Source organism: Homo sapiens, chromosome 4 (genome assembly GCF_000001405.40).
Source record: "Homo sapiens chromosome 4, GRCh38.p14 Primary Assembly".
Classification (NCBI taxonomy): Eukaryota; Metazoa; Chordata; class Mammalia; order Primates; family Hominidae; genus Homo; species Homo sapiens.
The window spans coordinates 136,003,623-136,020,124 of NC_000004.12; positions in this window are offsets into that span (position 1 = coordinate 136,003,623).

Genomic DNA, 16,502 nt, shown 5'->3' on the forward strand with positions numbered 1-16,502 from the left:
ATTCCAAAGCATACAGCAAAATTGATAATTTTTCAAATATTATTTAATAACTCTATAAAGCATTGATGCCAAAAGCGTGACAAAAATTGCACCAAAAATTTACAGATCAAAATCAGTTATGAAAAGACAAAATTTTAAATAAAATAATAGCAAATAGAATCCAAAAATAATTGAGGTGAATGACATATCATTAACAGCAGTTTTCTTACTGGAAAGTTAACAATTATAGAGCACATTTGTATAATTTATTATATTTATTCATCTAGAATTAAAATCATATAAATCCCTCTAGATGAGCTAAAATGCTATTTGACAGAATTTATATCTCTAAGTTGCAATTTCGAGGATAGGTTTTTCTTCCTGACATTCACCTACCCCCATTTCACCATATGTATTTTTTTTTTGCCGTCATATCCGGTATTGTCACAAAATAGGTCGCTGTAAAATAATGCAATTTATATTTCACCAATCAAAATTAGGAACAAAATATCTAGAATCAATTAACTTCTGAAGGTTTACAACTGATAACCTTGGTGTCTGTGTGTAAACATCAAACCTGTTTTGTTTGTTTATTTGTTTACTTTGATCAAATACAAGATCAGTCAATTTCACTCATGTAAAAATGAATCCATTTAATTGATCCAAAATTGTATTTAGAACTTATTTTTAAGTATTGCTTTGACAGTATCGTGAGCTAATGAATGTTTTGGTCAAATTGGTTTAGTTGGTCTTGTTTATTTTTTTTTTCAATAGCCAATACTGATGAATCTATTTCTGGGAATGTTCTAATTTTAAGTGAGAAATTTGTTTTCATTCCACCACAATTTTTTAACTTCCTTTGATGCTTGAGGAATGAGGGGTGTTGTACCTGACCCAGTTTGACTACCTAGTAGTCATCCAGGTCAAAATATTTTTCATCTTTCCCGTGGTATCCCATTCTCTGTTAATCCACTCAGAACTTCAATATCCCTCCAATTAGTCCAAGTCCATTCACAAACTACAATCTTCTTCGAAACTTATCAGTAAAAATTTTAGATCCAGTTAGATCCAGTTTTTTAATAATATGTATCAAACCATTTTATTTGGGGAAGCTCTCATTCATCTCCTTTTTTCTGCTGTAAGCCCTGCTTTTCACCATGAGATGAGATTTACCCTTCTTTTGTTCTGGGATATAATAGACATTACCTTTTTCTTCTTTATTATATTGGAGATGAAGATCCTATCGCATTATATTTGGATTTGTATTGGTTTATCACCACCTATACAGCCCACGTTTCTAATCTTCTAGTGCACTTCCAACTTTAAAAGAGCACTTGACAGGGGTGCGGGTGGGGCAGGGGGAGGAAAAGCATTAGGAGAAAAACAACGTAGATGACGGGTTGATGGGTGCGGCAAACCACAATGGCACATGTATACCTATGTAACAAACCTGCACATTCTGCACATGTACCCCAGAACTTAAAGCATAATAATTTTTTTAAAAAAAGCACTTGACTATGAGGTTAAAATAAGAAGAAAGTATTTTGTATATTTTTTGATGAGACAATATTTGCATAATAAGGCTTTGTCAGTGTGTTTAGAATTTTTGATATGATTTTTAATAATTTCTGTAACTTACTTGAGAAAATTAAGTACAGTGTTTCAAAAATGTTTGGTTATTTTTCTCCCTTAGAGAATAATAAATACAACTTTGAAAACCAATCAACATCTGGCAGTAACTAGTGATGAAGAATGGTCATTTAGTATGGTAATAAATTCTTCATGAATGATTCTACAGTTAACAGATTTAAAATTTGCCATAAAAATATTGCTTTTACTTGAAATGTACTCAATATTGACACTCCTGTCAATAGTATTAATATTATCATATTTCAACTGCTCTCATTTTTTTATGCTTGCTTAATTAAACAACATATATTGAGAGTCATAGAATTAGAAAACTGCAACGAATAAGCAGACAATCTAGTGAGGAATACATCAAAAGAGTCTAAGCCAGTTAAATCTTTCTTGAAAGGAAGAATCAAAAGAGGAATTGCACTCTTTTAATAAAACGTTTTAAGAAAAACATTCAGGGACCATAAATTTATTCTCACTACCCTTACAACTAGAATTTTTTGGAAGCCTTGGGGTTTTTTGAGACACGGGACCAGCACAGTCCTTTGGTTTACAGATTAAAAATTTGACACACAAAGGTTACATATTTGGGTGCCATCTCATAGCTAGCTACATTTTAAAATTAAGCTAGATTTTAAAATAAGATTTTAACACAGATTTCCAATAACTTTTTGAAATAGTAGTTTTCAGTAACCCGTTCATGTTTCCTCTACATCACGTATGCTCTTGCTCCCCATATGTATCTACCCCTGCCGAGTTATACAATCAACTAATTTACAAAATGTAGCTTGTGATCAATATATTTGCTGTACATATGTTTTGGTTAAGCCTTGTAAAACTTAATTAATCTGGGTCTTTATTATTAAGCAATGAACAAATAAAGTTTTATTTGCAGTACATTGCATGGAATGAATCTATATTACAAAGTTAAATTTATGTTCTTAGAAATAACAGAGTAAAATTGTCACTTAATACATTTTTAAATAATAGGTAAACATGGAAAATGTGTTTTTTAATCATGTTTTACATATAAAATATATGTTTTATAGGCAAAGCATTAAGCATGTGCTTTTTCAAAAAGAGATTATAATTTGAGTATAAAAAATGTATTTTTTAAAAAATAAATTTAACATATAAAAGATAGGTGTAACTCTATTTTTGTCGTTTGCCTGATTCTATGCTACCAAATTGATTACTGAGCTTTGAACAGAGAAAAAATTTGAGTAGGGATGCTTTGTACATTTTGTTCCTAAGTATTATTTTTCAATCAATATAATACATCTCAAAATGTAAGATTTGGTATTTGTTTTCTGGAGATCATCTCCACTTACTCTTTTTTTCTAAAGCAATTAGAGTTGTTATTTATAGCAATATTTTGATATCAAATTTGGTTCTAAAAATACTCCCTTTACTGAAATCACAATAAAGATACATAGTAATATATATTTCATTTCTGAGTTTTTTCTTACTCTATTTGCTATTATTGTTTCTCTACAGAAAAGTTTTGCTTCTGAAAGCTGAAGCCATATTTCTGTTTTTCTAGATTCCCTGGTAAGTGGAATGGGCAGTCATTGAAATCAAGATTAATTTAGAATGTCTGAAAAGAGTTTCATCCAAGTTAACTTAAAAAGGAAATCATGTTCTAAAATTAGGGTGTTCTGTGTTTGAAAACTTTTAAAAAATGTTTCCAACATTAGTATGTCATTAACAGTATATTTATCAAGCTGTTATATTACATTAAAAATTAGAATGAATTAACTTCTTATATTTAAAAAAATCAAATATAGAGTATTATATTTTTCTGTATACTGTCAGATAGTTTGTAGCTTACTAATACTTCCACTTCAAGGTGAGGCTATCTAAATCTGTAATGTCTCAATTTTCCCTTTTGTAATTCTGTCTAATGAGGGTGCATATATCAATAAATTATACCTGTTCCCAGATGGAAATTTACTATGCTTTTGATAGCCACCCAGCAACTGAGAGAACCAAAAAAGAACTTGATACTCACTTGTATCTTCAACCAAATGGTCTGTCAGTAGTCATTAAATAATTCTTTTCAGATCATTCTATATTTATTTCACCCAAGAGAATTAATCCCAGAATAACTCCATGTGCTTTATAGCTATAGTATAAACTGAGTTATTTTGTGTTATTTGAATATGATGTATATAAAGATAAAATGAATTTAATTTTTATTGATAATAATTATTCTACTTAGTTTACATGGCATAAAATTAAACATGTTAATCACCATTCACTCAAACTAATTTTAAAAATCAAGTAATTCCTGAAAACTTTACATTAGAGGATGTTATAAATTTGGAGTAATATCTTACCAACAACTTAGAAATTCCTCGAATTTGCGTTAAAAAATATCACGTCTTTAGAGAAGAAAAAAAATCTAGAAAAAAAAAACACAAAAGCATAATAACTACTGTTCAGGTAGAGTCAACAAAAATATATTTCTTTTGTGTTACCTGCCAGATTTTTTCTAAATTTGTATTTTTCTTCCAGGCTGAATTATCCTATGAAAATTTTTGTTTATTTCCTCTTCTGAGTAAATTAGGAAGCAAGCCCCCGGCTTAAAATCTGAAGCAACCTTATCAAACACAGACATTATGTTCATGACTGCCAAAGGGATATCTCAGTGCTTGCACACAAAAAATAAAACTTTGAGAATAAATGGGACAAGTACACAAATATCTCAGATAAATATTTTTCAAAAGCTAAATAACGAAAATAAAACAAATAAATACTCATTTGTTTTTGGAATGTACATCAAAATAAGAGATTAGAGATATTTTGTGTTCCTAAATAGAATCCAATCAGGACTGTCCTGGAATTGATGGCAGTGGTAGCCTGCCTGGGGCCGCCACTGCCAAGACACCTGCTGCAGCAAGGGAGGTGCGGCTGGACTACATGCTCCACAGAGCCAATGGGACCCAGGAGCAGGCAGAAGCCCCCAACCCTCTCGGGTGCAGTTCCAGCCCCACAAGCCATGTCTATAGACCTGTGCATCTCTGAACCATTGGGGGGCCCAGGAAGGCCCCCCAACCGCTGCCCCTACAGGCTTGGAGGTGTCTATTCCCACTGCCTGGTTCCAGTGCCTGTTCCAATTTTGGAGCAAGGTTGAGGCCAAGCCTGGGTTCTGTTGCAGCCCAGCTTGGTGTGCACGTGCTCAGGGCAGCACTGACATGCCGGCCCCCTGCTGCCTTGACCCCCTCTGGACTCTGGGCACCAACAAGCACAGGAGGGAAGAAAATGGGATGCTGAGGGCAGCCCAGCACTGGCTGGCAGGTGCTCCTCAGCATAAGCAGCCGGGGTGCCATGAACAATGGCAAGAGGAAGACAGGCTTTGGGGTGGAAAGTGGTGGGTCTCCAGTGAAGCCCCTCGTTCAAGCTGGGAAAGGCCTGACGCCTGGCACCCAGGCTGCCAGTGCCTCTGACCTGAGTGGGAACTTGGTACTTTTTCCCAGCCTGCCCATGGTCACCCATGGACCAATCAGAACACACTTCCTCCCCTCTAAAGACCATAAAAACCCCAGACTCAGCCAGACTCAAGGAGATGACAGGATGAAGTGTCTGCAGAGAAGAGCTACCCACCCCAGGGTCTTGTCTCTGCTGAATGCTGAACACTTCTCAGGACACCCTGCCTGTGGAAAGGAGCTACCCAATATGGGTCTCCTCTGAGCTCTTCTGTCACTCAATAAAGCTGCTCTTTGCCTTGCTCCCCATCCAATTGTCTGCATACCTCATTCTTCCTTGACACAGGACAAGAACTTGGGACCTGCTGAATGGTAGGGCTAAAATAGCAATAACACAAACAAGGCTGAAATATGCCCCTTGCTCACCACATTGCAGGTGACAAGAAGGAGAGATAAAAGGAGGAGAAAAGAGCTGCAGCCCTTCAGGAAGCCCAAACCTAGAAGCTCCCCGAGACAGTACTGTGTCACACTCTTTTGGGCTCTGGTGTATTTAAGCTTTTGAGCAAGCCCAAAACTAGAAGTTCCCCAAGCCAGGGCTGTGACACCATTATTTTTTCAGGTTCCTGGTGTCTCCAAGCTTCCGGGCATCACCGTGTTCTCCGGTGCTAGTCGTGGAAGCTTCTTGTGGTATGCCTTGTCCAACTGCAGCCTCACAGGAAGCCAGCACCCATGCTGGCTCCTGGAGCTTCCCAAATCACCACAGCCAGAGTGCCTTGCTATGCACAGTGGCCAGACCCCTTGCTTGCTTTTTCAAACACCCCTGGCTTCTCTTCTCACCTATGGCAGGCATGAGATCCTGCCAAGTGTAGCCTGCCAGGCTGAGTGGACCCAACGAGTCCAAGGGCCCAAGCATAACTCAGGCAAAGGCATCACTGGCTACAGAGGTTTCTAGTCAGAAAAGCATCATCTCAATAATCCCAAGAATCCCAAGAATCCCAAGACAGAATGATTGAAGCGGTTAGCAACTGTCTGTTAAAAGTAAATGTCACAAGATACTTTATATCAAGAACAAATTAGCTACTGGAATGTTGGAAAGAATGGTAAGTTAATGGGATTTTTTTCCCACACAATACCCTGCATTTTCCTGAAATCTTAAATTTACCCTTACTACCCTTGGATCCTCAACTCATCAGTATCATTGATGTAGTATATAAGGATATATTACATGTTGGTGATAAGAGAACACCACAAAGTTTCATGCAGTAAGCACTGCCCTTTGTTTTTTTTTTTTAATGACCAGTACACTGATCTTAGCATACTGTTGCCTCCTGAAGTGCTTCCAAAACCCTGAAAATAATACCAGTTTAAATTTACTTTGAAAAATTCAACTATAATGATCAAACAGTAAAATTAAGATTATACATAATACCAAAGAAGCTAAAAACAAAATAACTATGAAGAATTAGTTTCTATTAATTCCTGATAAGCATATTTTAAAAATGTAATCATATTAATATTACTTAATGAATGTTTTATTTATATATATTGTATATGTAATAGCTATTAGTTTTTTAAAAAAACTAATAGCTCCCAGAAATGATATTTACAGAAAAGCAATCTTCTTTGTGGTCTCTGTACCAAAAGCAACTTAATCATTTGATGAATGAATAGTATATTGAGTTATTTTCCATAAATGTTGTAGAAAACAACTAATGATATGATTCTAAATATCTCACCTGGAACTATCTTGTAATAACTATGCATTGCATATCAAGGAATTGAGAAATATAGATTTTGTAAAATCACACTTTAAAAAATATGATATTAAAACAACACAAATTTGCTTTTCCACATAAATAATTTATACAGGAATAATTGAAAGAACTGGCAAAATTCTGGACCAAGCAAGGCTGTGCAAATAAATTAGAAAAATCTGGGGTTCTTTTAAGCCAGATTGACATGAACGTACTAATGACTATGTTCTGATTTCTAGAGATTTTATTATAATTTGAATCCTCAATTTGGGTTCTCTTAAGCCAAGGGTGCTAAAACATTTTGTTCAATAGCACAAGCTCTCTAAGAAGCCCTCCCAGGTTTATATTCCACAACTTTCACATATTAAATGTGTGCTTATATACAAGTTACCTAAATTTTCTGTGCCTCAAAAAATGGACCAATAAAGTTAGTCCTAATGCAATAATTTAAAATTCTGTCCTAAAACAAATCAATTACATTTATTTAAATGATGTTTTCTTTCTAATATAAGTCATAATAGTTCCTTCCTCAGTGAAGATGGTGATGCATCCTTGCTGATAAATTTAGCCAAATTAGACAACAGAAGGAAGGAGAACTAAACTTTTCTAGGAAATATGAAGCATACTTTAAATAATATATTTAATTCACTCTTTCAAAACATCTGTTAGATAATGATAATTGCAATATTAAAAATGTGTATCTCAACTACTATTTACTAATTACTTACTGTGTTAGACTTCATTAAGTACTTATGCATTATTATACAATATCCTTACAACAAACCAATTAGATACATATTATTTTTTTTTACATTTTAACGGTAGAAAACAGTGCTTCAAAGAGTTTTCATTGTTTTTGATGCGAGTTCAATGGTAGGGCATGAATCAAAGATTCCAAACCCTTTATGTTTGGATGTAAAGCACCCCACACTAAACACTGTGCTTTTTGAAGAAAATCAGGTTAATTGTCTTGCTCAAGACTGAACAGCTTGACAGTTACAGAGTTGGAGCTAATATACTTCAATCCACATGCGATGCTTAAGCATAGTTTCACAAAACCATAAAATCAATTGATTATTTTATGTAACTACAAAATGAAATTAAGGAATAAGATATTAAAAGATAACACGTTAATATTATTTAAATATGAGAAAATAATTTTTGATTAATCACTTTCTGTTTATATTTACAATTATTTTTACAAAATTAGCCATGTTCCAAGATATACTTTTGAAATACAAAACCATGAATTTTAAAGAATTTGTCAAAAATAAGATAAAATAATATATTTAAAACATCATTCTGCCTGTTTAAAAAAAACACTTACTTGGTCTTTAATTCCATCAGTCTTCATGTTCTGGTCCTGAGGAAGCAAGACAATTTATTGTCATAAAAGAGATCCAAAGAAGGAAGAAAGAAATCAGAGAAGGGATATTATTTCTTGCAGCACTTCTTTTATGAGAGAGAAAATATCTTTTCAATCAGCCTCTAGTCTTCCAGGATTGATAATAATGTATCCACCAGCTGTGATCTTTCTCAAATGCTTTTCAATTCCCTCATTTTTTAAATAAGACATCTGAACTGTTTGTTCTTTCTCCCTTACATACTATTCTTTTTATTTAAAATGATTTTAAGTTTAACATTTTAGTTACTTTTGATGTTGTTTTATATATGTTATGATGTATTTTTGATAATCTTAATCCATCATCTCTGATTTAGGATAGTGCAACAGACTGAATATCTGTGTTTCCCAAAAATTTATGTGCTGAAACCTTAATTCCACGATGATATGTTGAGGTGGGACTTAGGGGAGGAAATTAGGTCATGAGGGTAGAGCCCTCATAAATTGAATTAGTGAATGCCGTTTGCTAAATCTTTGTGCTTAAAGGTGGATAAACTAAAGTTCTTATTTCCTGCATGTGTAGGAGAAGCACTAGATTAAGAACAGCTGTCTGATCTATTGAACTCTTTCTCAATTCACTGTCAAGAATTCTTAACTTTGTGGGTGCTCACTGTTACACATGCAAAGCTTTTCAAAAGGAAGGGGTAGTAAATCATTCAGCACTGTGATTCCAAGGCAGCCATTCACTCCAGTTCTCTGACTCCAGTCTGTCTAACCCTGAATCCACATTTTCAGACCAAGTAACCTGAATCTACATGTTCAGCACCAAGTAACTTGCAGACTATTGTTTTAAATCATTTTTATTACTCTTGCAATAACTCTAATCACTAAAAATGTTTAACAAAATCTTCAATGAATGTATCCCAATATTAATATAAATGATTGCTTTTTCCTAGAAAAATGCAAAATCTTTTTGAAGCAAAACTTCTTTGGATTTGAGCAAGTCTAAAACCTATTTGAAAGCTGCTCACCAGAAACATAGCTATAAATCAAGCAAATATGTAATAACAGACATGAACTTGTTGGGACAGAAAATATGCAAAGGGCCTGAATGTCCCTGCACATCCTTGAGTGCTCCAGATTGCATGGCTTATGTTTTTCCCTATATTGAGCAGTTTTTGTAGCTACACTTGCAAATACGTAGGTCAAGGCAAGAACAGTACATGACTGCCATGCTTACTTTATGAAGGTGGAAGTTGGGAAAAGTGACTGGGCCGGGTTGTTTGCTGTTTATGAGTGTGTTTCCTGCTTGCTCAAAAAGTCTTGATCTTGGGTGCCAGGTAAGTAATGCACACCACAGCATTTGCAGGTGTATACTAATTTTAAGTTATGTCACCTGATCAGCTATAGAAATCTACTTATATGAAAGAGAATTGAGGCATGCAGCTTCAACGAAACTCTCAGACAATATGCAGATGCAGCCAACACTATCTTGTTAGCCTGTGAATAAGCCACCTGGACTGGCTTCTGCACAGTATTACTGATCCCAGTTTGACTGTTACAGCTAACAACACTTGGAGCATAGAAAAGCTGTCCCTGTTGAGCCCTATCAACTTTCAAATTTTAAGCAAATAAATGATTTTTCTATTAAGCCTCTAAATATTGGAATTTCTTTTTGCTTTATTTAATTAAATTTTATATTGAGATAAGGGCATATTCACATACAATTATAAGAAACAATACAGAGATCTCATGCATACTTAACTCAATTTCCTCCAGTGGTAACAAACTGCTAAAACTGTAGCACTATTACAACCCGTATATACACAATGATACAGGCAAAATAGAGAACATTTCCGTCATTACAAGAATCCTTTGTGTAGCCATTTTAGAACCACATACACCTCCCTCTTTTAACCTCAGTGCTGACTTTTAACAACCACCAACCTCTTCTCCATTTTTAAAATTTTGTCATTTCAAGAATGTTACATAATGAAATCATACAGAATCCAATAATTTAGAATTGACTTTTTTCATACAGCATAATTATATGGGCACTTAAACAAGTAGTTCTGTGTATAAATAGTTGACACCATATACTGCTGAGTAGTATTTCATGGTGTGGGCGTACCACAGTTTTTAAACTATTCAACAGTTGGAGGATAGTCACATTATTTTCTATTTTAGTCTATTATAAATAAAACTGCTATGAATATATCTGTATAGATTTTGTGGTAAATAGAAATTTTCATTTCTCTGGCATGAAGGTGCAGGAGTACAATTCCTGGGTTATATGATAGCTGCGTTTTAATTTTACAAGAAACTGGTAAAAATTTTTACTCACGTTATATTCCCATCACCAACGTGAATAATCAGTTTCTCCCTTCCTCTTAAGATATCATTTGCTTATCGTTAGTTATCATGGATAACCTCATTGGTTATCTATGTTTTTTATTTTTAGGCTTTCTAATAGGTATGTTAAAAGGTGAAATCTCGTGTTTGTAATTTGTGTTTCTCTAATGTCTAATTATGTTCAACATTTTTTTCATGTGTTAAATTGCCATCTGTATGTACTCTTCAGTGAAATATCTTTTCATTTCATGTACTCATTATCTAATTACATTTTTCAACTGTAAAGTTTGAGACTCCTTTATATATTCTAGATATAACTATGTATCAGATATATGGTCTGAAAATATTTTCCATCACTCTGTAGCCTGTATTTTTTTTCCTCTTAACAGGGATTTTATGAACCAAAATTATTTCAATGTTGATAAATTCAAATTTATGAATTTCTTCCTTTATAGGTTATGGTTTTGCTGTTAAGAACTCTTTATATAGTTGTATGTTCTGAGTATTTTTTCCAATTTATTAATAAAGTTTGATATTTATGTTTTACATTTTTTACAAATAATCCATTTTGAATTGGTTTTGTTATAGTTGATATAAGTTGAGAGTTTTTCTGTTTATTTCCTTCTAGTTATTAGTTTTTCTTCTCTTTTCTGAGTTCTCTTGTCATTGTTGTTATTTTGACTTACGGATGTCCAATTTCTCTAATACCATTTCTTGGAAAGAATATCTTTTTTTCATTGAGTTGCTTTTGCAACTTTGTCAAAAAATTAGGCATATTCCTATGCATCCACTTCCGGATTCTCCATTGTGTTACACCGATCTTTGTGTATATACCTCTGATAATACTACAGCATCTTGAGTAATGTAGATGTACTATGAATTTTAAAACTGGGTAAACTGATTTTTTCCACTTTATTATTATTTTACACAATTGTTTTACACATTTTAGTTTCTTTGTATCTTTCATTTACACTTCAGAATAATCCTATTTGTATCTACAAAAAAAATCTTGATGGAATTTTGATAGAAATTTCAGTAAAACCAAATTTCACAGCTTTTTTAAGTTTTCTTAATGTATGTGTTCTTAATAATCATGTCTGTGACTCATTAGGCATATTCAACTGAACAACTTAAATTCTTCTCATCTGTTCTTTTTTTTCCCATTTCTGGAACACATTAGGTCTCCTATCCTCCAAGTTTTATTTATTCCCAGCTTTAATCTCCATTTTTTTAATGTATTGTACTATGATGTCTAATAAGTAATTGACATGTTAGACAAAGTAACTTGAGATAGTGCACTGCGATTTACAAGTTACTTGAAGTATTGTACATCATAATACAATTGTACATCCTACTACAAATAATCAAAACAAAAACCTGAAATAAATAAGAGAATTTAGTGTATATTACACATGTTTTTCAGGTTTTGTATTTAATCATTTTTCCAGTTGAGAAATTTAGGTGTCTTTCCTACAAAATTAGTTTTGGTTTTCAATTATAATACACCAAAGTACTTTCAATTAAATGTGCAAAGCTAACATAGTAGAAAAGTGTGAAGAAGTTAAAAAACTATAATTATAGTTCTAAAATTTATTATTTCTCTCCAAATATTGCAGAGATCTTGAGGACAAAAGAAGAAAAAGATATAGAGGAGGTAAATATCACACCCTAAAATTTATATATGCAAATACATCTTTTTAAATGACCGTGATGTACAAACAAAATTTATTACATACTTAGAGTACAAAAGAAACGTTAGCACTATTTTTAAAGAGAGATTTTTATATAGAAACTAATTAAGATTATTATTGTTTACAAATAAAATTACCTAATTATAAATTGACCAAAAAAATTAACTATTTCTAAAAATAAGATACATTCCAAAACGTATTTTGTATAGAAGTGAAAATTGAAAAGGAAATAATAAGCTTTCTAGAACCAATAATAAATAGAACAATACATATGAAAAACATGGTGTACAGATAAATCCCTTCATAAAAAATTTGTAACTTCATAAAACATTTATAACATTTTTTATAACTTCTTTATTTAATAAGAAATATATAAATAAAATAAATTAGTCCTGAAAAATTAAAAAACTCACAGGAAAATAACTGAATAATCTATTAAGAGAGACAAATGTAAAAGTAAGAGCAATGTAATATAAAATGAATAAAGTTTAACAAAAGGATGCATAATAAAACAGCAGGAAAGCAATTTAAATTTGTTTGTTCTTTGAAAATAATTTTTAAAAGATAAACTGTTCAAGAGCCTACTTAAGATAAAGGAAACTGGAAGAGAAACCAAATATCTAAATTTTGTGAGAAGAACATCTGTAAAACGAATTATTTAATTCTTCTTTTCTTATTTTAATAAGAAATATTAAATTTTTTTTATTTTAATAAGAAAATACAGAAACTATCCAGTCAGGAAGCCTAGGGAAGACTTCATTCTAAAAACTGACTCACACAGGAATAGTATGTTGAAAACACTAATTAGAAGGGAAGATATTGAATGATGATGAAATATCTACTCTAAAAAATCAACTTGGATAAAATTATTCAAGCTATTTTTAATCAGATTAATTATTAACTCAAATGTCACTTCACACCAAAGTAAGTGATGAAATTCTCACCAACATTTTATAGAGCTGAGATGAGTCTACACCCAAACTCCAAGGACTAGTGCAGTAACATAATTAGTACAGGCTAATCTCACTTAAGAACATATATGCCAAAAAAAATTGTTAAACATATTAATGGCAAATTTTAGCAAAATCATATATATATACCAAATGTGTTCACTATCAAATATCCAGAGGTAGAAATACTATCAATGTAATATTTTACCTCAACAGATTCATAGACAGAATTATTGATACCACCAATAGATAGATGGTAACACATAATTTTATAAATATAGACTTTATGCTTACATAAACTCTAAGTAAAATGGAATAGATGGAAAGTAATTGAATGATTATGTACTACTAAATATCTGCATGTAATATTCTGAATATTGAAACAATAAAACAATTTCCAGCAAATCAGAAACTAGACAGGGCTGCCTACTACTACAATTTGTATTTGAAATTGCTTTGGAATTTCTAAAAACATAAATTATTGCTGGAGGAAAAGAGAAGAGCTGTGCTGCACATAGTATAATTATATATTCAGGAAACCAAGAGGCTCAAATTAAAAAATGTGACTTCTAGAACTAATAAGAAAATTGATTGTGTTTGATAAATAAAATTTAAATTTAAAAATATTAATAGATGCTCTCAATTCTATCTGCAGGAACCTATAAAAGGAAGTGATATAAATGCTTCTATTAATAACAGCAGCAGAAATATATTTATAATACATTTAAGATGAAGTGAATTACTCCATACAAAGAAACTAATAAAATCTTCTTGAATCATGGCAGAAATATCAGTCTCTATAACTGGAGGTATTGCAGATTATACATAAGAGGAGGAAGGAGGAAGACATGTAATTAAATGACTTAAGCAATTAAATTGCTCATATTTTATATACAAATCTTTAATCTGAAGGTTTAAGTGTGTCTGATGACTCACTAAATTTCCTTATGGCTATTGCTGTTCACTCTTGTCCTAAGAGCAATGAATAAAGATGACAATTTCTGTCACTTAAAGACTACCCACTATAGCTAATGTCATAAGTCAGACACACCACTAAGGGACTATGCCTTTATGAATCAGACTACTGATTTCATTCATTAATGCTTAATTCTTTGAGGAGATGTTGACTGCAATATTAAATTTTAAAAGGATAGATTCAGATATCTCCCAGGACAAATAACAGGATGCTCACCCTTTGGGAGCAAGTTACCTATTACAGGTCGTACAGCCAAAGTTACATGTCAATACCCATTCAACTTTTTTTTTTTGAGACGGAGTCTCACTATGTCTCTCAGGCTGGAGTGCAGTGGCGCGATCTCGGCTCACTGCAAGCTCCTCCTCCCTGCCTCAGCCTCCCTAGTAGCTGAGACTACAGGCGTCCGCCAACCTGCCTGGCTGTTTTTTGTGTGTGTGTTTAGTACAGATGAGGTTTCACCATGTTAGCCAGGATGGTCTCGATCTCCTGACCTTGTGATCCGTGCACCTCAGCCTCCCAAAGTGCTGGGATTACAGGCATGAGCCACCGCACCTGGGCTATACCCATTCAACTTCCGATAAAGAAAAATCTCAAAGATCCTGGTCTAATGTTTTTCCTGTGTGGAGGTTCCTTCCTTGAGTATCTCCGGGAACTTTTTTTTTTTTTTTTTTTTTTTTTTTAAGACAGAGCTGGAGTGCCGTGGTGCGATCTCGGCTCACTGCAAACTCTGACTCCCAGGTTCATGCCATTCTCCTGCCTCAGCCTCCCAAGTAGCTGGGACTACCTGTGTGCACCACCACACCCGGCTACTTTTTGTATTTGTAGTAGAGACAGGTTTCACCATATTAGCCAGGCTGGTCTTGATCTCTTGACCTTGTGATCCGCCCACCTCAGCCTCCCAAAGTGCTGGGATTACAGGTGTGAGCCACCGTGCCCTGCCTCCAGGAACATTTTTATCTTCAGCTGTACATCAGACTTTTTGCAAACAGTAGTAACTATGTCTCTAACTTTGTACAAGATATACTCTGGGCAGACAAAAGCTAAGGCAAAGAATCTTTATGAGTATTTAACTAAAAGCTATTCACAAAACCACTAATCCATCTATCCATAAAAGTAAGTCCTATATTAAGATGTATCCATTCCTATGGTTTTGTTCCCTAAGAAGACACAATATTACTTGATTGATATATCTATGTTTATCATATTAAATACACCACAATAACAATTTTTATGAGGATTATATTTTTACAGCAATTTCAGAAATACAGAAAAAATGTGCATATAGTACTATATTCCCATATGCATCCTATTCTACTCACACAGTTACCATTATTATTAACATTTTGTGTTAGTGTGATACATTAGTGTCATAATTTGTACCACTATTAATACATTAACATTAATCAAAGTCCATAGTTTACATTAGGGTTTATTCTCTATGCTGACAGTTTTATGGGTTTTGACAAATGTATAATATCATGAATAGACTATAACAGTATCATACTGACTAGTTTCACTGCCCTAAAAAAACCTGTTCTCCCCCTAAATATTTCTCTCTCCTACCCCTTAAACCCTAGTAACCATTGATATATTTGTACTTTCTCTATAGTTTTATCCTTTTTAAGGATGTCATGTAGCTTTAATCATAGAGTATGGAGCCTTGTTAGACTGGCTTCTTTCACTTAGCAACATGCACTTGAGGTTTCTCCATTTCATCTCATGGCCTGATAGTTTATTTCTGTTTAATTTTAAACAATACTACATTTTGGAAATGTTTATCTACTCCCTATTGAAGAATATTCTGGTTGCTTTCTGTTTTGGCAACTATGAATATGACTGTTATAAACATTTACTTGCAGGTTTTTGTACAGATATTAATTTTCAACTTATTTGTGTAAATACCTAGAAATGTGAATCTTGTATTGAAAGCTTGTGTTTAGCTTTGTAAGAAACTGTCTGCCAGGTGCGGTGGCTCACGCCTGTAATCCCAGCACTTTCAGAGGCTGAGAGGGGCGGATCACGAGGTCAGAAGATCGAGACCATCCTGACTAACACGGTGAAACCCCATCTCTACTAAAAGTACAAAAAATTAGCCAGACGTGGTGGCGGGTGCCTGTAGTCCCAGCTACTCAGGAGGCTGAGGCAGGAGAATGGCGTGAACCAGGAGGCGGAGCTTGCAGTGAGCCGAGATCAAGGCACTGCACTCCAGCCTGGGCAACAGTGCAAGACTTCGGGAAAAAAAAAAAAAAAGAAAGAAACGAAAGAAAGAAAGAAAAGAAAAGAAAGAAAGAGAGAAAGAAAGAAAAAAACTGCCAAACAGTAAGAAACTGCCAAACAGTCTTCCAAAGTTGTTGTTCAATTTTGCATTCCCACTACCAATGAATGAAAGTCCACA